Genomic DNA, 24,342 nt, shown 5'->3' with positions numbered 1-24,342 from the left:
GATTAGCAGCATACTCAGGTAAACTTATCAAGCAAGCCCAGTGTGAAAGGAAAATAAACGGTGGGGCCCCAAAAATCACTAAGCTAAAGGGAAAAGTCAAGCTGGGAACTGCTTAGGGCAAACCCGCCTCCCGTTTTATTCAGTCACCCCTCTGCTCGCTGAGATAAATGCATATCTGATTGCCTCCTTCGGAGAGGCTAATCAGATATTCAAAAGAATGCAACCATTTGTCTCTTATTAACCTATGACCTGGAAGCCCCGTCCCCACTTCGAGTTGTCCTGCCTTTCCAGACCAAGCCAATGTTCATCTTACATATGTTGATTGATGTCTCATGTCTCCCTAAAATGTATAAAACCAAACTGTGCTCTGACCACCTTGGGAACATATCATCAGGACCTCCTGAGGCTGTGTCACAGGCACACACTCTCAATCTTAGCAAAATAAACTTTCTAAATTAACTGAGACCTCTGTCAGATATTCAGGGTTCATACCAGGAAAATGCAACATTAGAGCAGACAGGAGAGGGTCTTCACACTGAGGAGCTCAAACTCTCACAGGCATCTAGCTTTCCCAGTGTCCATCCATGAGAACTGTTTAAAAGTATATTTTCATGCATTAAAAAGGATACTAGCGGGTAGGGCAAGGTGGCTCATGCATGTAATCCCAGCACTTTGGGAGGCCCAAGTGGGTGGACTGCTTGAGCCACCAGCCTGGGCAACATGGCAAAACCTCATCTCTACAAAATGATACAAAACTTAGCCAGGTGTGGTAGCACATGGCATGGTAGCACACGCCATGGTCCCAGCTACTCAGGTGGCTGAGGTGGGAAGATCACCTGAATCTGGGGAGGTGGAGGCTGCAGTGAGCCGTGATCACACCACTGCACTCCAGTTTGGGTGAGTGAGATCCTGTCTCAAATAAATAAATAAATAAATAAATAAATAAATAAATAATATTAGCCAGGCAGAATGGTCCACACCTGTAGTCCCAGCTACTCTGGAGGCTAGGGTGGGACAATCGCTTGAACCCAGGAGTTTGAGGCTGGAGTAAGCTATGGTTGTGCCACTGTACTCCAGTGGGACAACAAAGTAAGACCCTGTCTCTAAAAAAAAACACAAAAGGTTAAAAAAATGATATTCAGATACATATAATGAATATGGAAAGACATGGAAGGATTTTCACAATGTATTAAGGGGTAATAAAGCAGGTCATTAAAGAATATACACAGTGCTTCACTTATACGTAAGTGTACGTATGACAGAAAGCCAAGAGCCAAAATGTTAGCACTGTATCTGTACGTTAGAAGATTCTGAGTGACTCTTATATTCTATTATTTGTTAGCCATATTTTCTAAGTTTGTAATAAATACGTAATACCTTCTGTAACATTTTTTCTTTAATGCACCCATCTTGTAAAAGGTGTATTTTTCTCCACTTTAATGAGGACAAGTAGGAAAGGAAGAGAATTTGTCAGCTAAAAAATAAACTGGGCTGACACAAGGTCTGTCTGTCTGCGGGTCTGTCTGCTTTGGTGGAGGATGGTAAGAATAAGGGAGACTTCTGCATATCTGTATTTACATGCAGACAGGAAGGATCTAGGAGGAAGGGAGATACTGTAGATGCCAACACTCAACCAAAAACAAAAAAAGCTCCCAAATCCCAAAGGATGGGAGACAGAAATGTATCGGGAGCTAAGCTCCTAAACTGGATAAAGCCCACATATTTCTAAAAATGAAACTTGCCGGTTTACATTGCTTTATTTGCACCTGCCTGTCCAGTGGGTTTTCCACTTGGAAGTGAAAAAGAGTGCTAATTCTCTCTTCAGAGAGAGAAATAATGTAAAATAACTGTGTTTATGGAGGTCACTTTCTTCCCAGCTTCCAGTCTATTCACTACAGAAACACCGTGGAAGAGGGAGCTGAATCATTTAAAATACACCTTTTGCAATAAATTCAAGTATTTTAAGGCAAAATCATTAGTTATTAAAATGGGAAGAAGGCCGGGCATGGTGGCTCATGCCTGTAATCTCAGCACTTTGGGAGGCCAAGGCAGGAGGATCACTTAAGGTCAGGAGTTCAAGAAGTGGACAATATGGTGAAACACCATCTCTACTAAAAATACAAAAATTAGCCAGGCATGGTGGCACGTACCTGTAATTTCCACTACTCAGGAGGCTGAGACATGAGAATCTCTTGAACCCAGGAGGCGGAGGTTGCAGTGAGCCAAGATCGCGCCGCTGCACTCCAGCCTGGGCGACAAAGTGAATGAGCCTCCATCTCAAAAAAATAAATAAATAAAATGGGAAGAAAAAAATAGAAGATTAAGGCAAAACAAAATGCTACCAACAGATCACACCAAACTACCTAGACTTTCTCCAAAGCCTAATATTTTACTCACTTTCAGAAAAAGAATAGAAACCTGGGAAAAAATGAGGAGTATCTGTCCTTTGCTTATGTACTTTGATGAAATGCCAACTACTACTATAAATAGCATTTTTTTAAATAAGAAAAAATGGAGTATTTCGGAAGTGGTTTTTGGTTTTTTTTTATATTGAGTTTTTTTGTCTTTATTTGGAGTGTTTTAATATCCGCCATGACAAGTTAAAAACAAAATGTAAGATCATAAAAAAAGGAAGAAGAGTCATTTTAATAATTAAATTTGTAAAATTGCACATCCGCTAAAATGCAATCCTTTGTCCAAGATAAATATTTATAATAAGCAGGAAAAACAAGTCAGAAAGGAACACTGCATTCCCCTTCAAAACTCAGGGCTAAAAATTTCTTCCCATGGACATCACAGTTTAAAAATTGGCCCATAAATCACAGAACTCTTTGCCTAAAAGGGTATAAATTGGAAGTTAATAAATAAAATAATTGAAAGGTTTAGTCTCATATTGAAAAATACATATTCTTATTTTTAATTTTCATAACTATGAAAAGGTTCACATAAACTACTAATACTTTTTGTTTGTTTGTTTGAGACAGAGTCTCACTCTGTCACCTAGGCTTGAGTGCAGTAGTATGATCACGGCTCACTGCAGCCTTCAACTTCCGAGGCTCAAGCGATTCTCCCACCTCTGCCTCCCAGGTACCTGGAGGGCATGTGCCAACATGCCTGGCTAATTTTTGTATTTTTCTGTAGACACGAGGTTTCGCCATGTTGCCCTGGCTGGTCTCGAACTCCGGGGCTCAAGCAGTCCGCCCGCCTACACCACACAAAGTGCTGGGATAACAAGCATGAACCACTGCTCCCAGCCTTACTAATGAATTTTTTAATTAAAAAGCTCATTCAGGTAGGGTTGGATGAGGGGGACAGATAAAATCCATTGCCTGAGCAAAAGCGCAAGAAACTTCATTTACAGGCCACTCACTTTCCTAATGACTTCCTTCATGTTAACTTCTTGTCACTGTTAAAAATTAGGGTTCTGGGCCGGGGACAGTGGCTCATGCCTATAATCCCAGCACTTTGGGAGGCTGAGGCAGGTGGATCATCTGAAGTCAAAAGTTCAAGACCAGCCTGGTCAACATGATGAAACCTTGTCTCTACTAAAAATACAAAAATTAGCCAGGTGTGGTGGTGTGCGCTTGTAATCCCAGCTACTCAGGAGGTTGAGGCAGGAGAATCACTTGAACTTAAGAGGCGGAGGTTGCACTGAGCCGAGATCGCACCTCTGCACTCAAGCCTGAGCGAAAGAGCAAGACTCCGTCTCAAAAGAAAAAAAAAAAAAAATAGAGTTCTGGCAGCACTGTCTTTATTTAATAGTCTACTGTGAGTCTGACATTTATTGCCTTTAAAAGAAAAAATTTGTAAATTCAGTCTATACTATCACTGGGTACTGCAAACTTGCTAATTATATCTTCAGTGTAAAATAGCTCTTCCTCTCATTTGTCTTGAACATTTGCTGGTCTTTTAAGCATCAAAAAGTCCAGATAACTGTTGAAGGTTAGAAGAATAAGTTTATGTTTGCTTTTCTGAAATAAGCTTATAGCTGGTAAGTATGTCTTCTTTCCACTTTCATATTTTTAGACTGAAGAGTACTGATCACCTTAGTCAGTTTTACAAAAGTAACAAATGCATTCGCTCCGGGACTTGGGTTTCCTTCACTAGAATACCTTCCACTGTTAAATCATTTAAGTAGGAGACCAGAATCTCAGATCGTAATCCATGTGCACAGTCAACATGGCTTTGCAAAGGAAGGATAACGTTCTCTGTTTTCTTTCTTGTCTCCTTCCTAAGGACACCCCAAAACCTAGCGTTTTTCTGCATTACAGCACTGCAATGGCATCTTTTAGGAACACTAGAATTACTCCCTTCCCTGAACCTATGGACTGTATAAAATATAACTCGTGATCACAAATTTTTCTTGGAGGTTAGCAAGAGTCAATCAAACAAAAAGATTTGGATGAATGATCTTTCCTCAAAACTTTAGCATTTCCCTCAAGATAAGAGTAAGCTAACTACCATTACCTAGGGTTATGTCAAGGAGAAACGGGATCTGAGTAAAAAGCATATGCAATGATATAACCAGAAGAACTGAAAGCAGAATCTCAGAGATATTTGTACATCCATGTTAATAGGAACGCTATTCACAAAAGCTAAAAGATGGAAGCAACCCAAGTGTCCACAAACAGATCAATTAATTAGCAAAATGTGATATTTACATAAAATGGAATAATAACCAGCCTTGAAGAGAAAGGAAATTCAGACACATGCTACAACATGGATGAACATGGAGGACAGTGTGCTAAGTGACACAGCCAGTCACATAAAGAAAACTATGGTATGATTCCACTTACATGAGGTACCTAGAATAGTGAAAGTAAAATGGTGGTTGCCAAGGGCTAGGAGGAGAGAGGAGTGAGGAGTTGTTGTTTAATGTGGCGGTCCCTAACCTTTTTGGCACCAAAAAGGAACCGGTTTTGTGAAAGACAATTTTTCCATGGGCGGGGCAGTGGGGGAGGCAGTGGGGGAGTGGTTTCGGGATGAAACTGTTTCACCACAGATCATCAGGCATTAGTTAGATTCTAATAAGGAGTGTACGACCTACATCCCTCACATGCACAGTCCACAATAGGGTTCGTGCTCCTATGAGAATCGAATGCCGCTGCTGATCTGACAGGAGGCAGAGCTCAGGAGGTAATGCTCGATTACCCACCGCTCACCCCCTGCTGTGTGACTCGCCTCCTAACAGGCAACAGACTAGTAGCGACCTGTGGCCCAGGGCTTGGGGACCCCTGGTTTAATGGGTATATATTTTCAGTTTTTCAACAAGAAAAGAATTCAGGAGAACGATGGTAGTGATGGTTATATAACAAGATGTATGTACATTTCAAATGGCTAAAATAATAAATTTTATGTTATCTGTATTTTACTGAAATAAAACATAGAGGAAAAAAACCAGATGCAATAAACATTTTTCATGTTCATTTCACAGTGTTATTTTTTTGAAGAAAAGAGATTAATTTATCTCAACTTTTCATATATTCCCCTATAAGACAAATGGAGAAATTGTACTTGGTTCCAATTTTGTCTTTTAATACTCATATTTTCAACCTATCATTCTTTCAGAATATAATTACAGGTAACCTGAATTCTAGAATCAGAATTGTTTTCACTCTGATCATGCCTCTAGACATGGTATTTAAGATAGAACTATTTGCTGGAACTCACTATGGTACACACTGCTAGTTGCCTACTCAAGCATCCTTTCTCTCCTTCTCACTTACAAGATTAATCCCATTTTTTTTCCCTGTAGCAAGGTGGCCAGTTAAAATATTCACCTTGCCTTGCAACTAGAGATAACCATTTGGCTCAATTCCGCCCAGAGGAGGGGAGAAGTATATTGGGTGGAAGACCCAGGAGAACTATTATTTCCCTGATAAAAATTAACAGACTTGGCTGGCATGAACATCTTGCCCTGGGCCTTTCTGCTTCCTCCAGGAAGACAGAAGCTGCCAGTTTCCCTGAGCAGGTAACCAGCCCTGGGTTGCCTACCTACAGACTGAAGCTTACTTGAGAAAAATGAGTTCTTTCTTAGTTAATCTATCGTAAAAGGGTTTCTCTTACTTGCAGCTAAACTCAATCCTAACTCAATCTGGTGCCACTGAGATAAGTCTGAGGAAAGAAATTCAGGAGTATTTCTGGTCTACAAGTTGGAGTTGGATGTTCCAGCTCTGCAAAAGGAATGTTAAACAGGCTGAAATGGCCTGGGCGCAATGACTCATGTCTGTAATCCCAACACTTTGGGAGGCTAAGGCGAGTGGATCACTTGAGCCCAGGAGTTCGAGACCAGCCTGGGCAAAATGGTAAAACCCTGTCTCTACAAAAAGTACAAAAATTAGCTGGGTGTGGTGGCATATGCCTGTGGTCCCAGCTACTTGGGAGGGTGGGGTGGGAGGATCACTTGAACCCAAGAGTTCGAGGCTGCAGTGAGCCATGATCACACCACTGCACTTTAGCCTGGGAGACAGAGTGAGAACCTGTCTCATAAAAGAAAATAAGATAAAATAAGCCTGACATGTCCTATAACTCTGATCTAAAACGTAACACTGAAGGACAGATGACTGGAATAGGGAGATGCATGCACTAAGGATGCTATCAGAGTCTCCATCCATGAATCATGTTTTCTCATAATAAAACTGACATTTATTAAACACTTTCTATGTGCCAGACACAGGGCTAACCACTTTGTACACATTATCTCATTTGATCCCAACAGCCTTATAAGGTAAAACTCAGCTCCCAACTACTTTATGGAACTGCTTTTTGACTGCTTTATGTCTTGAACAATTTATTTTTCTCCTATATACAAAGAGGGTAAAAATGCAACCCTTAAACAATTGTTATGAGAATTAAAGATAATAATCAGCATGCGGCAAGAGCCACATGGTTAATTCTCAATAAAACCCAACTGTCATCATGGTCAAAAAGAATAGTACACTGCACAAATTCCCAGATGTAGCAAAACATCAGAATCCCCTGGAGAATTGTCTTAGAATACAGACTCCTTGACTCCAGCCAGGCTTAAGGAATCAGGTGCAGCCCAGTCATCCAGAGATGTGAAGGAATCTGGTCTAAGGGAATACCAACTGCTGTATTCTCAAGATAATAAAAACTTTACCACTTTGTTATACCAAATCATCACAAAGCTTACCTAAGCCACATATAGGAATCTACCCTGTGCCTGCACAACTGCCTTCACAGAACCTACATTTTAAAGTATGCCCTCTGTTTTCCCAAGACTTAAGAACATCGCTGTAGCTTATGTGAAATTGCTTTAAATAAAAGAAGACATACATGTGGCCAAGCATATTAAAAAAAGCTCAACATCACTATCATTAGAGAAATGCCAACCAAAAACACAATGATATAAATTTCACACCAGTCAGAATGGCTATTATTAAAAAGGCAAAAAATAAAAGATGCTAGCGAGGTTGAAGAAAAAAAGGAACACTTACACACTGTTGGTGGGAGTGTAAATTAGTTCAAACACTGTGGAAGACAACATAGCAATTCCTCAAAGACCTAAAGACAGAAATACTATTTGACCCAGCAATCCCATTACTGAGTATGTATTAGTCTGCTTTCACACTGCTGATAAACATATACCCAAGACTGGGCAATTTACCAAAGAAAGAGATTTAATGGACTTACAGTTCCATGTGGCTGGGGAAGCCTCACAATCATGGTGGAAGGCAAGGAGGAGCAAGTCACATCTTACATGGATGGCAGCAGGCAAAGAGAGAGCTTGTGCAGGGAAACGCCTCTTTATAAAACCATCAGTTCTCGTGAGACTTATTCACTATCACAAGAACAGCATGGGAAAGACTTGCCTCCATGATTCAATTACTCCCACTGGGTCCCTCCCATAATACCTGGGAATTCAAGATGAGATTTGGGTGGAGACACAGACAAGCCATATCAGGGTATACACCCAAAGGAATATAAATTGCTCTGTTACAAAGACATTGCAGCACAGTAACAAAGACTTTGAATCAACCTAAATGCCCATTAGTGGTGGATTGGATAAAGAAAATGTGGCATATACACACTATGGAATACTATGCAGCCATAAAATGGAATGAGATCATGTTGTTTGCAGGGACATGGATGGAGCTGGAGGCCATTATCCTTAGCAAATTAACATATGAACAGAAAGCCAAATACCACATTTCTCACTTTTAAGTGGGAGCTAAATGATGACAACACATGGATATATAGCAGGGAACAATATACACTGGGGTCTATTGGAGGGTGGAGGTTGGGGGGAGGGAAACGATCACGAAAAATAACTAATGGATACTAGGCTTAATACCTGGATGATGAAATAATCCGTAAACAAACCCCCATCCTGTGACACACATTTACCCATGAAACAAACCTACACATGTACCCCTTAACTTAAAATAAAAGTTTAAAAAAGAAATCCTTCAAATGAAAAAAAAAAAGAAAGAAAAAAAGAAAGGAATTGCTTTAGAGGGCAAGGTGCCTCACTTCTGCTCACTTTGGGGACCAGGCATAAAGCAGGGTGTCTTGACAAAGATCAGAGATCTTCTTTGTATCATTTTGTCTTGGCTGCCAGGAAGTTCAGAGCCAAATGTTGTACTTTAATTTTTCTCAATCAAGTTTTTTTTTCTTTTTTGAGGCTTCAGGCTGGAGTGCAATGGCACAATCATAGCTCACTGTAGCTTTGACTTGTGCTCAAGTAATCCTCCCACCTCAGCCTCCTGAGTGGTTCAGACTACAGGCATGAGCCACCAAGCCCAGCTAATATTTTAAAAAAATTATTTTAGAGATGGAGTCTTGCTGTGTTGCCCAGGCTGATCTCAAACTCCTGACCTCAAGCAATCCTCCCACCTCAGCCTCTCAAGGTGCTGGGATTGCAGGCATGAGCCAATATGCCGGGCCCCTCAATTGAGTTTCAACTATCATTATTTTCATTATTTTTCTTTATTTTGGGAGGGGATATTTTCAAACATTTTATTACAAAAGCAATTTCCATTTATTAAGGAAGATTTAGACAAACCAAAGGAAGGAAACTTAAACCACCCATTTTCCCTCTGCCCAGAGATAACCAGTATTAACAGGTTTATATACATCCTCCTAGACATTTTTGTCTGCTTCTTCCTTACATAGTATTTTATATTTATTTAAAATACTTTATAAATCTGTTTTTATTACAGTGCACATTCTTTAATAATGTCATTTTAAAGCTTCATAGGTATTTTATTGTCTGGACATTAAATAATTTTTTACCAATATCTCCCACTCTGTTATTATGCATTCCTAATGCTGATTTCCATTCTTAATTTTATAAGCATTTCAATAACAATCATACTTAGAATTAAAATTTTGAACATATACATGACATTTATTTATTCATTCTTCATTCATTCAGAGAATAAATTCTTAAAAATGAAAGTCAAATACACATTCCAGTAGGCTTCCACAGAATAGAACACTCCCTGCCTGAAAAATTCTTCTCATCTTCCCAGATTCCATTTCTTCCTTCTCCTCCACTCCTCCACAGCAGATCCTCTACAAGTTAGATTTCCTAAAGGATCAGTCTTGGACCTCTTCACACTTTTACTAAGTGGTCACGCATCTACTCACTCCACAGCATCTATGTGCAAAACTCCTAATGTCTTATTTCCAGCCCAAACCTTTCTTCTCAATTACAAAATCATGTGTGGTGGTTTTAAAATACATTCAGAAATTATTTGGTGGCTGTCTATTCAAGCGGGGGGCTTAATTCCCCACCCACTGAGTATGGGCTGAAATTGGTGACTCACTTCTACTGAATAGAATATGGCAGAAGTGATGAGTCGGACTTTTGAGACTAAAAGTATTACAGCTTCCCCTTTGCATTCTTTCATATCTCTCTCACTCTAAGAGAAGCTCACAGCCATGTCATGAAGACACTCAAGCACCCTAGAGAGAGGCCCACGTGGCGAGAAACTGTGGCCTTCGACCGAGAACCAGCAGGGAACTGAGACCTTCTGCCAAAAGCCATGTACATAAGCCATCTTGGAATCAGATCCTCTAGCCTCGGTCAAGCTTCAGATGATGGCAACCCTGGCCAGCATCTTGAGTGCAATCTCATGACAGACCCTGGACTGGAATCACCTAGCTAAACCACTTCAAAATTCCTGGCCAAGGAAACTGCATGAGATAATAAATATTTGCTGTTTTAAAGCACCAATGTTGGGGTGACTTGTTACAGAGCAATAGATAACTAATATAGATTTGCTGCTAAGTTTCATAATAATTTATTATGCAGCAAGAGATAAACACATACTATGTAACTAACCACCTACTTGACATCTCCACTGAGATAGCTCACAGACTCATTTCAACCTTAACCCATCAAAAAACTGAACTGTTGCTTCTCTCTCAAATCTATTCTGCCTCTAGTCTTTCCCAACTACGGAAAAGCACTTTCATCCATTCACTGGTTCATGCCAGGATGCTGAAATGAATCCTTTCTTCTAATACCACAATCTAACCCTTCTATCAACTTTTGTTGGTTCTAATTCCTAAATACAGCTTGAGTCCATCCACATCTCTTCAGTTCCACTGTCAACCCCCAGTCCAAGCTACTGTCATCTCTTGCCTCCAGCCTAAAGCCAATAACCTTCTGACACTGTCTCCTAAATTCTCTTCTTATTCCTTCTAATCAACTCTCTGAACTTTGGAACAACTAAATTAACATGGTTCATATGGCCCTGAATCATCTGACCACTCCTATGCCAAGCCTTGTCTTGAAACACTCACCCTCCTCAGTTTGCTCCAGCACACTGACCTTCATGTTACTCTGACAAACCCAGCCCTTTCCTGCCTCGGGATATTGGTTCATGCTGCTATGCCTGCCTCCTTCACCCTGTTCTCAACCTGCTTAATTCAGACGAACATTGCAGGTTTAATTTTAAACATCTTCTCTTCAGAGCGGACTTCTGGACGACTCCTCCAGTCTCTAAAGGCAACCTGTTTTCCTTCCTTGTGCACCCAGTACTTATCTTAATTTGATTACATATTGTTTTGGGTAAGCCCAAGAGGGCAAGAAATGTCAACTTTGATCTCTATAGTATATGCAGTTCCCAATACAGGTTGTCAATTTAAAAAATATTGAATAAGCTTATTGAAAGTGTTTATTAAGTCTAAACACAGAGTGTATTCAATCTAGACCTCTAACTTGTCCATTTCAATAGAAAGAACATGAATCTGTTATATGTATTGCCTTTTCAACCTTCTGCAAAATTGCAAGACCATCATCATCAAGATGATCCACTGACTGTTTTTCTCATCTTTTCCACATGTTTAAGGATCCTTTAATTCTTGGCAAAGATGAAAATTGACTTCTAGAAACATTAAAAAGAAGAAAAGCTGGTATAATAATAGTCCCTAAAGGCAGACCACAAAAGCAATTCTAAAGTTCATTAGAAAATTAAATTGGCCCCTGATTGATCTAAATGGGAACATTTTATCCTAGTGTTTAGAGTTGTGATGAGTAATCATTTCCCTTTCCAAAGCTCAGTGTTTTATAAAAACAGGGTTGATCATGACTCTCTGCAAGATTATTTTTTGGTGAAGAAATCAGAGACTCACTGATGGAAGAACCAAGAAATACTAATAAGGGCATGCTGAAGCACAGTGTAAATCAACAGTGCCCTGTCTTTTAACTTCCAGTAAATAAGACACTGACTTGTAACCAGAGACAGAGTAGGTCTGGGAGCCAGCCGACTCTGTGGGTTCTGAGGCAGAGCCACACACAGGGAGCAGCCCCACAACAGTGTTCACAGTGACTATACAGAAAAGAAACTGTTAATAATGGCACTCCGGTAGAAAAAATAGCAACAATCCATGCCTCACTCTTGCCACCTGCATTCATACACACAGACTCTCAGGCTAGCATCAAGGCTCTGAATTCAAAGATCATATAGGGTTATGTATATATATGTAATCACTCCAAACTTTGATAAGTGGCACAGATTTTAACTTAATAGATTTATGGGAAATACATGGTGATAGAATATGATAAACTCAACTCTGTAACAAGCACATGTATATTCCTGCACACAGAAAGAAATGTTACTTGGTACAGGCCGGGCACCGTGGCTCACACCTGTAATCCCAGCACTTTGGGAGGCTGAGGCAGGTAGATCACTTGAGGCCAGGAGGTCAAGACCAGCCTGGCCAACATGATGAAACCCTTTCTCTATTGAAATACAAAAATTAGCCAGGTGTGGTGGTGCACGCTTGTAATCTCAGCTACTGGGGAGGCTGAGGCACGAGAATCACTTGAACCCAGAAGGTAGAGGTTGCAGTGAGCTGAGATCACACCATTGCACTCCAGCCTGGGTGACAGAGCAAGACTCTGTCCCAAAAACAAACAAACAAAAAAAGAAGTGACTTGGTATAGAAAAATATATAATAGTCACAGATTTGAAATACTATAGCTTTGGTCACTCCATTTATTGTGACAAACAGGGTGCATATTTTTCTAATCTGTAGCTTAGAGCACAGTATTATTAATATACTGTACTATTAACTATGATTTATTCATTTCTATAAACCAAGTAATAAAGTTAGACCATTTTTACTTTGGTAAATTCTTCAGTTCTCTAGAAGTGAAATCTTGGTAAAAGAATTTAACCACAGGCACCTATAGCAATTTTATACATAATTCTTTAATTTGCAAATTACCAGTAGTAACTAAACTATTTTTTTCTAAGCAATAAAAAGTAAAGAACATAATGCTATAAATGTTTAGGATACAATAATCATTCTAGAAAAATTCTAGAAATCTTTCTAGAAAAATTCAAATCAGAATGACACTGGGAAGCCTGGGCATGGTAGCTCACACCTATAATCCCAGCACTTTGGGAGGCCGAGGAGGGCGGATTGCTTGAGTCCAGGAGTTCAAGATCAGCCTGGGCAACATAGTGAGGCCTCTGTCTCTACAAAAAACTTTTTTTTTTTTTTTGAGACAGAGTGTCGCTCTGTCACCAGGCTGGAGTGCAGTGGCATGATCTCAGTTCACTGCAACTCACGCCTCCCGAGTTCAAGCGATTCTCCTGCCTCAGCCTCCTGAGTAGCTGGGATTACAGGCACACGCCACCACACCCAGCTAATTGTTATATTTTTAGTAGACACCAGGTTTCACCATGTTGGCCAGGCTGGTATCGAACTCCTGACCTCGTGATCTACCCACCTCGGCCTCCCAAAGTGCTGGGATTACAGGCGTGAGCCACCCGGCCCGACCCAAAAAACTTTTTTAAAAAAAGCAACTGGGAATAGTGGTGCACACCTGTAGTCCCAGCTACTTGGGAGGATGAGGTGGGAGGACTGCCTGAGTCCCAGAGTTCAAGACTGCAGGAAGCTGTGATCGTGCCACTGCATTCAGCCTGGGTGACAGAGTGAAACCCTGTCTCAAAAAAAAGAAAAGAAAAATGACAGTGGGTATCAAAAACCCATTACAACTTATAAAAAGGCTGCTACCCTATGTGGGGGGGAAGAAAACATGCCATAAAACGCCAGGCAGAACGTGCTGATTGACAGAGACCAGGCTGTGCACTAGACCAGAAGAGTGGTGCCCTGAAACAAAGAGGTGGAGCTAGGAAGCAAGGACTCCAACATCTAAGGCCTTCAATGGATACATTCCAACCAGCAAGCAACACCCAGGCAGCCGCCTGGCAGGGCAAGGCTAGATTCCACCAACGAGGTGAATCCCCCCTAAAAATGAATCAGAGTCACAGCTTTATCAAAGGTCAAAGTGAAACACTGAGAATCAGTAGCCAGGCAAAAGCAAACAAGGGTACAGATATATAGCAATCAAAGACAACTCAAACAAGGCCACATATCCAAACAAAGAGCCTGGAAAACAAAAAGTCACCATGACACCCAACCACCAGGAAACTGTGAAATGATCTTGAGATTGATAATAATGAAATTAGAACACCCTTTAAGCTTAAGGAAAGAAATCCAGAAATGAAAGGTATAGCCCAGATCACTTTTAGATCTGTGCTAGATAGCTAATATGCATTTCCCTAGCCATAATCAAATATTCTAACATGCTTATAAACGCTGAGTTATTAATGTTTACACACTTGCATAAATATCATTTAGCTCTTATAACCATAAAATGCCCCCCAGTCTCATCTGTTAATAGTTCTAAAAGGATCACAGCGCTTAGGATATGGCTGACGCATTTAGCAAACATAATCCAAATGTTAATTCTAGATAACCAACTAAAGAATAGAGTCCATCTGGGACATGTATTTTACGTAAAATATTTTCAAAAAACATTCAAGTGTGATGATGTTAGCATAGTGCACTACTAGAAGTCTCATACTATGTAGCTACTGCCCAAAAGAAGTAAAAACTCCTTGTTTAACTATGGGAGAAAACATGGAAAGGATAGTTCATCAAGATTGAGGAATTCCAGTATTTTTTAAGTATTTCCTTTTAGTTACTTTTTTTTTTTTTTTTTTTGAGATGGAGTCTCACTCTGTCACCCAGGCTGGAGTGCAGAGGCACAATCTCAGCTCACTGCAACCTCCGCCTCCCAGGTTCAAGTGATTCTCCTGCCTCAGTCACCCAAGTACCTGGGATTACAGGCGCAGGCCACCACACCCAGTTAATTTTTGTATTTTTAAGGCTGGGCGCGGTAGCTCACAACTGTAATCCCAGCACTTTGGGAGGCAGGGGCGGGCGGATCCCGAGGTCAGGAGATTAAGACCAGCCTGACCAACATGGTGAAACCTCATCTCTACTAAAAATACAAAAATTAGCTGGGTGTGGTGGCACGTGCCTGCAGTCCCAGCTACTCTGGGAGCTGAGGCAAGAGAATCACTTGAGCCCGGGAGGCGGAGGTTGCAATGAGCCGAGATCACGCCACTGCACTCCAGCCTGGTGACAGAGTGAGACTCCACCTAAAAAAAAAAAAAATTGTGTTTTTAGTAGAGATGGGGTTTCACCATATTGGCCAGGCTGGTCTCAAACTCCTGACCTCAAGTTATCCGCCCGCCTTGGCCTCCCAAAGTGCTGGGATTACAGGAGTGAGCCACCGTGCAGGGCATCTTTTAGTTACATTTTAACATCCATGCTCTTTTTGTCTCTACTGATTCATTTTTTAATTTTGTTTTGTTATACATATTTTTGTAAGCCACTGAACCTAGAACAAAGTATGGAGTTATTAACAAATGTAAAATATTTACCTTATTCCATGAACTAAACTAAAATTATTCAACCAAAAATAAAAAACTAAAAGAAGATTGAGGCATTCCATAGCGTTATCCTATTCTTGGTTTCTTTGCTTTCTCTCCATCACGGGAGTTGAGAGTACCCAATTATATAAATCAAATAAAAGAAAGTAAGAAGAAAAATCTATAAATGCCATATGATCTGCCAAGAAGTACTTTATTTTATAGTAAGAAGATGCAGTGTAAGCAAATGGATAACACATACACCCACGGTAATTCAAAGGCTCTCCATCCCAGGACCTGTTCACAAATGCAGACCTTTGAAAATATTCTGCAAGCACTGAGTGGCTAATATTTGTGTAATTTGAAGAAAAGAACTAGAAATAATATAACCATAAGAAATTGATATTTTTAGGAATAATGAATGGAATTGATTTTGTAGTAACAATGAAAATGATGACAGCAGCAGCAGAAATAACTAACACATAGAGTGCTTACCATGTTAGGGGCATGGTACCACCTCCCAGCTATTATCCTATTTTTTGTCATTGGGATGTAATTCACACGCCATAAAATCCATCCGGATTTAACGGATGTACGATTCTGTGGTTTTTTACTGTATGCACAAAGTTGTGCGACAATCATCCAATCTTAATTCCAGACACTTTCATCACCCCAGAAAGAAACCCATTAGCAGTTACTCCCCCATTCCCTGCCAGCCTCTGAGCCCTAATAAACCACTAGCCTACTTTCTCTCTTTATGGATTTTCCAGTGGCAGACATTTCATATAAATGGAATCATAGGATATGTCACCTTTTGTGCCAGACGTCTTTCACTTAGCATTATGTTTTCAAGGCCCATGCATGTTGCAGCTTGTATCAGTCCTGTATTTCCTGTATGGCTGAATAATACTCCATTATATGAAATGACCATATTTTGTTGATCCATTCGTCGGCTGATGGGCATTTTGGTTGTTTCCACTTTTTGCCTATTATGAATAATGCTGTTATGAATATCCATGTACAAGTTTTTGTGTGAACATATGTTTTCAGTTTTCTTGGGCAGAAAACTTAGAGAGAAATTACTGAGTTATATGATAACTCAAAGCTTAACTTTTTGTAGAACTGCCAAAATATTTTCCAAAACTGCTACACTATTTTACATTTTCACAAGCAATATAAGGTTCTAATTTTCCCACATCCTTGCCAACACGTATTTCTTTCCATTTTTATTACAGCCATACCAGTGGGCACAAAGTAGAAAAATTTCGCTATGGTTTTGATTTGCATTTCCCTAAGTGACTAATGATGTTGACCATCTTTTCATGGGCAATAATTATTAGCCAATTGTTTATCTTTTCTGGAGAAATATCTATTCCTTTGCTCATTTTTCAATTGGGTTGTCTTTAGATTGTTGAGTTATAAGAATTCTTGGCTGGACATGATGACTCACGCCTATAATCTCAGCACTTTAAGAGGCTAAGGTGAGCATATCACCTGAGGTCCAGAGTTCAAGACCAGCCGGGCCAACATGCTGAAACACGTCTCTACAAAAATAGAAAAATTAGCCAAAATTAGCCAGGCATGGTGGTGCATGCCTGTAATACCAGCTACTTGGGAGGTTGAGGGAGGAGAATCGCTTGAACCTGGGAGGCAGAGGTTGCAGTGAGCCGAGATCACACCACTGCACTCCAGTCTGGGTGACAAAGCAAGACTCCATCTCAAAAAAAAATAAAATAAAAAATAAAAAGACTTCTTTATCTATTGCGGATACTAGACCTTTAGCAGATACCTAATTTGCAAATATTTTCTCCCATCCTCTGGACTGTCTTTCACTTGCATTTTCTTATTTTAATCCTCACAACAGCCATGAGGTATTATTGTGGCTATTACTATCCCATTTAACAGATGGGAAAACAGAGCTGACATACACAACTAATAAGAACTGGAGCAGAGTCCAACCCAGGCAATCTGCCCCCAGGCATCCATAGGACATACTGTCAGAAGCGCTGAGCTCATTAGATGCTATAGCAATAGGCACTAAATAAAATAAGCAGGATTAAAAATGATTAACTTAAAAAGAAACAGTATTACTGGTGCTTTGCACAGAAATACCAGAAGGCCCTTCTTAACTTGAGGAGGAAGAGTGGCTTAAAATAAAGCACATTCAGCCTTAAAAGGAAGGCAAAACTTGGCCTTTAAACACTGTCTATTCTTTTCAATTGTAGGAAACTTTCTTTCTTATTGAGTTATGTAGTTGAAACAAAGGAATTCAGAATACAAATGGTATTTTTGCTGAGATGCAAACATTGTAAATAGTCACAGTGGGTGTTTTGTTAGGTGGAGGCCTATTTCTTAGTCAACAACCCCCTCTTTTCAGAATGTATGCCTCCCCAGCCCTACGCACCCACTCTCTGAGATGATGAACAAAGCAGAGTTTTAGCAACTAAGATATCACTCCAATCTGTCACTCCTTCTTCTACCCTTATTTCTGCCACCAGCTATGTGAAATATAAAAGTTAATCTGCGGCCAGGCGCAGTGGCTCATGCCTGTAATCCCAGCGCTTTGGGAGGCCGAGGACGGCAGATCACCTGAGGTCAGGAGTTCAAGACCAGCCTCAACATGGAGAAACCCCATCTCTACTAAAAATACAAAATTAGCCAGGTGTGGTGGTGCGTGCCTGTAATCCCAGCTACTCGGGAGGCTGAGGCAGGAGAATTGCTTGAACCTGGGAGGCGGAGGTTGCGGTGAGCCGAGATTGCGCCATTGCACTCCAGCCTGGGCAACAAAAGTGAAACTCCGTCTCAAAAACATAAGCACATAAATAAAATAAATAAAAGTTAATCTGCAAAGAACTTTAGTATGTCTGTAGAATTAGGTTCATGGTAAATAATGGGTAATAGGGGGATTTAAAAAAGCATGCTAGATCTACTAATACTGGCATGGAAAGGAATTCAGTATATTTAGCTAAGGAAAAACAAAACCTGTAAACAATATAAATAATATCATCTTGTATTTATTAAAAATAGGCAATATAAATTCATATTTTAATACTCACGTTAGTAAATGCACATAAACAAAAAAAGTCAGTGGGGAGAGAAGACCCTGTTGAACTTGACTCTATTCTGGCACAGTGAAGAGACATGAGAGGTGTAGAATAAGTGGGAGGCCCCCTTGCAGGGATGAGTCAGGGGACTGGGGACAGTGCTAGGTGGGGAGTTTGACTGGGGCAGTACACCTGTCAAACAGTAATGCAGGTGTCTTAAGGTGAGCTCAGGGAGGACAGAAACATCCCATGGAGCAAAAGGGCAAAAGCTCACTTGATCTTGATTTTCAGTACGAATACAGGCCCCATGTAAGTCTGAAATCCAGGAGGACAGTCAAATCATAAAGCTCCAAAATGATCTCCTTTGACTCCATGTCTCAAATCCAGGTAATGCTGATGCAAGAGGTGGGTTCCCATGGTCTTGGGCAGCTCCGACCCTGTGGTTTTGCAGGGTACAGACCCTCCTGGCTGCTTTCACGGGCTGGCATTGTCTGTGGCTTTTCCAGGTGCACGATGTTAGCTGTCAGTGGATCTACCATTCTGGGGTCTGAAGGATGATGGCCCTCTTCTCACAGCTCCATTAGGCAGTTCCCCAGTGGGAATTCTGTGCGGGGGCTCCCACCTCACGTGTCCCTTCCACGCTGCCCTAGCAGAGGTTCTCCATTAGGGCTCTGCCCCTGCAACACACCTCTGCCTGGACATCCAGGCATTTCCATACATCCTCTGAAATCTAAGTGGAGGTTCCCAAACCTCAATTCTTGACTTCTGTGCACCTACAGGTCCAACACCATGCATAAGCCTCCCAGGGTTGGGGCTTGCACCCTTTGAATCAACGGCCTGAGCTATACGTTGGCCCCTTGTAGCCATGGCTGGGACACAGGGCACCAAGTCCCAGGACTGCACAAAGCAGCAGGGCCCTGGGCCTGGCCCACTAAACCATTTTTCCCTCCTAGACCTCCTGGCTTGGGATGGGAGGGGCTGCCGTGAAGACCTCTGACATGCCCTGGAGCCATTTTCCCCACTGTCTTGGGGATTAACATCTTCCTGGGAAGCCCTCCAAGTTCTTCAAAGCTCTGCCTGTTACCCAGTTCCAAAGTCACTTCCACATTGTCAGGTATCTTAATTAGCAGTACCCAACTCTACCAGTACAAATTTCTTGCATTAGTCCATTTTCATACTGCTGTGAAGAAATACCCAAGACTGGGTAATTTATAAAGAAAAAGAGGTTTAATGGACTCACAGTTCCACATGGCTGGGGAGGCCTTGCAATCATGGCAGAAGGTGAAGGAGGAGCAAAGGCATGTCTTACATGGTGGCAGGCAAGAGACCATGTGCAGGGGAACTGCCCTTTATAAAACCATTAGATCTCATGAGACTTCAATATCACAAGAATAGCACGGGAAAAACCTGCCCTCATAATTCAATTACCTCCCACCAGTTTCCTCCCACAACATGTGGGAATTATGGGAGATACAATTCAAGATGAGATTTGTGTGGGGACACAACCAAACCATATCAGAGGGTTCCCCACTAGGAGTAGGGTGTAATTTGTTTTCTGTTTTGTTTTCTTTTTTGAGACAGAGTCTCGCTCTGTTGCCAGGCTGGAGTGCAGTGGCACGATCTCAGCTCACTGCAACCTCAACCTCCTAGGTTCAAGCGATTCTCCTGCCTCAACCTCCCAGTAGCTGGGACTAGAGGCACGCGCCACCACAATCAGCTAATTTTTGTATTTTTAGTAAAGACGGGGTTTTACCATGTTGGCCAGGATGGTCTCGATCTCTTGACCTCGTGATCTGCCCACTTCAGCCTCCCAAAGTGCTGGGATTACAGGCGTGAGCCACCATGCCCAGCCCAGGTTATAATTTTTATGTGATGAAATGTTTGACTTTTAAAATACAACTACACAATATTGTATTTAAAAAGAAAGAAAACAACTAAGGGTAGCACTCTGTCAGATGGTCCTACAAACCTTATAAGCCATAGAAATGAATAAACAAATATGAATCAAATGAACGAATGAACAGATCTGGGTAAGTTTTAGTGACTTCCCAAACTTCTTAAAGTTATGAGAAAAATAATGCATGTCCTCACATATGTGAATTTGAGCACAGGCAGAAATTCTATAACCTCCACATCAATTTTTTTAAAGACCTCTCAATCCAAAAAAAGTTTATGAACACTATCTTAAGAGAATTCTATAAGGTCTCATTTTATGAAAGGTCAAAACAGAAATTAAAAGATAAACCAAACAAAACAAAATCCCTTAAGTCAAACACAGTAAAAAGACACCTTGTAAGTCACAAAAGAACTGTCATTAGAGCTCTCTTAGATCCTGATCTGTAATTTCCAAACTGCCACTAAACGGACCCTAACTTTAAAAAACCTTATCATTTATTCATTTATAATCCTTTTTTTTTCTTTTTTTGCGACGGAGTTGCCCAGGCTGGAGTGCAAGGGCATGATTTGGGCTCACTGCAACCTCCTCCTCCCAGGTTCAAGCGACTCTCCTGCCTCAGCCTCCTGAGTAGCTGGGACTACAGGCGTGCACCACCACACCCAGCTAATTTTTGCATTTTTAAAGTAGAGATGGGGTTTCATCATGTTGGTCAGGCTGATCTAAAACTCCTGATCTCAGGCAATCCGCCTACCTCGGCCTCCCAAAGCGCTGGGATTACAGGCCTGAGCCACCCAGCCATGCTTATCATGTATATTCCTTAATGGTAAAGATATGTTTCTCTTTCCTAAGGCCAAAAAACAAGGAATCTAGCATATAAAAATTAACAAATTAACATATACCAACAAATTATTTGGTCCATTGCTTTAAAAAATATTTATTGAGCATCTACTCTGTGCCAGGCTTGTTATTCCTTTAATGTCATATGTCTTTCTGGTTTGATATATGTCACAGTTTTCTTTCTTCTACACACTGCAGGATAAAGAAACTGAAGAAATCAATGGCCAGAATTAGGTTATCTTCAATGTCCACGTGATAATTCCCAACAGCCTGTACCATGGCTTTTTATGAGACATGAAAAGGGAAAGTAGCAACAAGCTTATAGGATCTCAGTCTTTAGATCACTAAGGATTATCAGTAATAAAGGAAACAGAAGGCGGGGTGCAGTGGCTCACGGCTGTAATCCCAGCACTTCAGAAGGCCAAGGCAGGCAGATCATGAGGTCAGGAGTTTGATACCGGCCTGGCCAACATGGTGAAACCCCATCTATACTAAAAATACAAAAATCAGCCAGGCGTGGTGGCGGGTGCCTGTAATCCCAGCTACTCGGAAGGCTGAGGCATGAGAATCACTTGAAACCAGAAGGCAGAGGTTGGAGTGAGCCGAGATCGCACTACTGCACTCCAGCCTGGGCAAAAGAGTGAAACTCCATCTCAAAAAAAGAGAAAGAAACAGAAACTTCTCCTTATATAGGGGTTTTCACATTCTTAGGATTTTTCTCCTGGTCGCCCCCCGCCAACAAATTACTGTCTTCTTGAAGATAAGTTTCTCCTTGAAAAATAAAAGCTCGTAGAATTTATCCATATAAGAACAAAAGATTCAGGCAGTATCTAACCTAGTAGGTTACTATGCTATCGCTACATCTGTTTGTCTACGACAAAATCCTTACTTAATTCTAACAGTAACTTGAGTTTTTCAGAAATGCATAATAGAAAATATTCTATTATTCTAAATAATTTAGATATTATTCAACAACTGCATTGTCTATATAATAATTGAGGAAAGTCATAAAAAGAACATATCTATAAAATAAAATTCACATCTGTAAAATTAACCAAAAAAAGTGACAGTTCTGAGTAATGTATGTATAATTATCTTGGAAGGATTTTTTTTTTTTTTTAACAAATCCTTGACTCATGTATAATCCTTTATTAAAAACGCAGGTAGAGGGGCCGGGCACAGTGGCTCACACCTGTAATCCCAGCACTTTGGGAGGCAGAGGCAGGCAGATCACTTGAGGTCAGGAGTTCAAGACCATCCTGGCCAACATGGTGAAACCCCATCTCTACTAAAAATACAAAAAATTAGCCGGGTGTGATGGCACGCGCCTGTAGTCCCAGCTACTCTGGACACTGAGGCAGGAGAATCACTTGAACCCGGGAGATGGAGGTTGCAGTGAGCCAAGATTGCGCTACTGCACTCCAGTCTGGATGACAGAGCGAGAGTCCATCTAAACAAAAAACAAAGAGACAAAAAAAAAATGCAAGTAGAGATACCATCTCACATCACTCAGAATGGCTATTATCAAAAAGTCAAAAAATAATAGGCACTGGCGAAGTGGCAGAGAAAAAGCAACACATACACACTGTTGGTAGGAGTGTAAATTAGTCCAACCATTGTGAAAAGCAGTGTGGCAATTCCTCAAAGACCTAACAACAGAAAGACCATTCAACCCAGAAATGCCATTACTGGGTATAAACCCAAAGGAATATAAATCATTCCATCATGATGACACATGCATGTGTATGTTCACTACAGCACTATTCACAACAGTAAAGACATGGAGTCAACCTAAATGCCCATCAATGGTAGACTGGATAAAGAAAATGTGTTACATATACACCACAGAATATGTGCAGCCATAAAATAGAATGAGATCATGTTATTTGCAGAAACATGGATGAAACTGAAGGCCATCATCCTTAGCAAGCTAACACAGGAACGAAAAATCAAATACCGCATGTTCTCACATTTAAGTGGCAGCTAAATGATGAAAACACATGGACACATAGAGGGGAACAACAGACATGGGACCTACCAGAGGCTGGAAGATGGGAGGAAGGAGACAATCAGGAAAAATAACCAATGGCTATTAGGCCTAGTACCTGGGTGATGAAATAATCAGTACAACAAACCCCTATTACACAAGTTTACCTCTATAACAAACCTGCACACGTACCCCAGAACTTAAAATCAAAGTTAAAATATATATAGGTAAAAATTTATTGATAGCAACATCTCCCACGGGTATACTCTCCTGGCTTTCAAGTGAATAAACATGAGCTGTACTGCTTTAACACATCAACTTTTATATTCATGTGACGATTACGCTGTTTATTGTGTCAGAAATAGAATGCGATGCACATACATCTCTATCAGCTGCCATAATATTTTAAGTTAATGAAAATAAATTCCCAGGCCAGGTGCGGTGGCTCACGCCTGTAATCCCAGCACTTTGGGAGGCCGAGACGGGTGGAACACCTGAGGTCAGGAGTTCAAGACTAGCCTGGCCAACATGGCGAAACCCAGTCTCTACTAAAAATACAAAAATTAGCCAGGCGTGATGACACATGCCTGCAGTCCCAGCTATGCAGGAGGCCGAAGCAGGAGAATCACTTGAACCCAGGAGGCGGAGGTTGCAGTGAGCCGAGATCACGCCACTGCACTCCAGCCTGGGTGACAGAGCAAGACTCAGTCTCAGAAAAAAATAAAAATAAAACTTCCTTCCATGAACGAAATGATCATTGAATCCACAGATCACCAAAAAAATACCTTAAGTAATCTCTGAACTTCTTCACTTTTCATAAAATTGGAGTTATTTAAATCCCACTTTTAGTTTGGCTACTCATTTTCTTCCCAAGTACATTTGAACACTGTGGTGAATGTTTGTCGCTTAGTAACAATCCTGCCAATGACACTGAGAGAAAACCATTAAATCACATTAACTGAAGCATGCAATTTCAGAATAAAATGTGAAAAGTGGAGAATCCTAAGTGGTTTATGTACATGCTTTTGTCACAAGAAAGTTGACCATCTCCTCCTCATGATCTACTCCAGAATTCCAATCCTAGGCTGGCCCTAAAGTTGAAAGTACTTGAGTCATTCCTTCCCTTTTTCCCCTTCATCAGACAAACATATGCATCATAACACACACATGAACAGGAAAAGCTTCTTCTAACATTATTTTTAAAATTAATTATTAAATCAACTGCTAAAAGAAAGGCATGAAATTTATTTCAGGAGAAAGCAGGAATGATTGGAGAATTATCCACCACTCTCAATTCTTTCTGCAGATGTTCTTTTTTAAAAGAAGTGAAAATCAAGAGCTACGCAATGTGGCAAGCAGAATAATACATCTTCT

The 24,342-nt window shown here is 40.8% G+C and overlaps 1 protein-coding gene across 1 annotated transcript in view, besides 1 other annotated feature; it reads right to left on the bottom strand.

The window, feature by feature from the left end:
• The window catches only part of UTRN (utrophin), a 567,700-nt gene that overhangs the window by 463,599 nt on the left and 79,759 nt on the right, over positions 1 to 24,342 (bottom strand). The gene's annotated exons all lie outside the window — the stretch shown is intronic.
• Positions 1,469 to 1,763: a silencer, noted in NCBI's record as "tiled region #7657; K562 Repressive non-DNase unmatched - State 22:ReprW". NCBI's record gives its function as "represses a minimal TATA promoter and a strong SV40 promoter by Sharpr-MPRA in K562 cells {active_cell/tissue: K562}" and the evidence as "EXISTENCE:reporter gene assay evidence [ECO:0000049][PMID:27701403]".

This window comes from Homo sapiens, chromosome 6 (genome assembly GCF_000001405.40).
Source record: "Homo sapiens chromosome 6, GRCh38.p14 Primary Assembly".
NCBI classification, from domain to species: Eukaryota; Metazoa; Chordata; class Mammalia; order Primates; family Hominidae; genus Homo; species Homo sapiens.
This window is presented reverse-complemented; position numbering and strand designations above follow the sequence as displayed.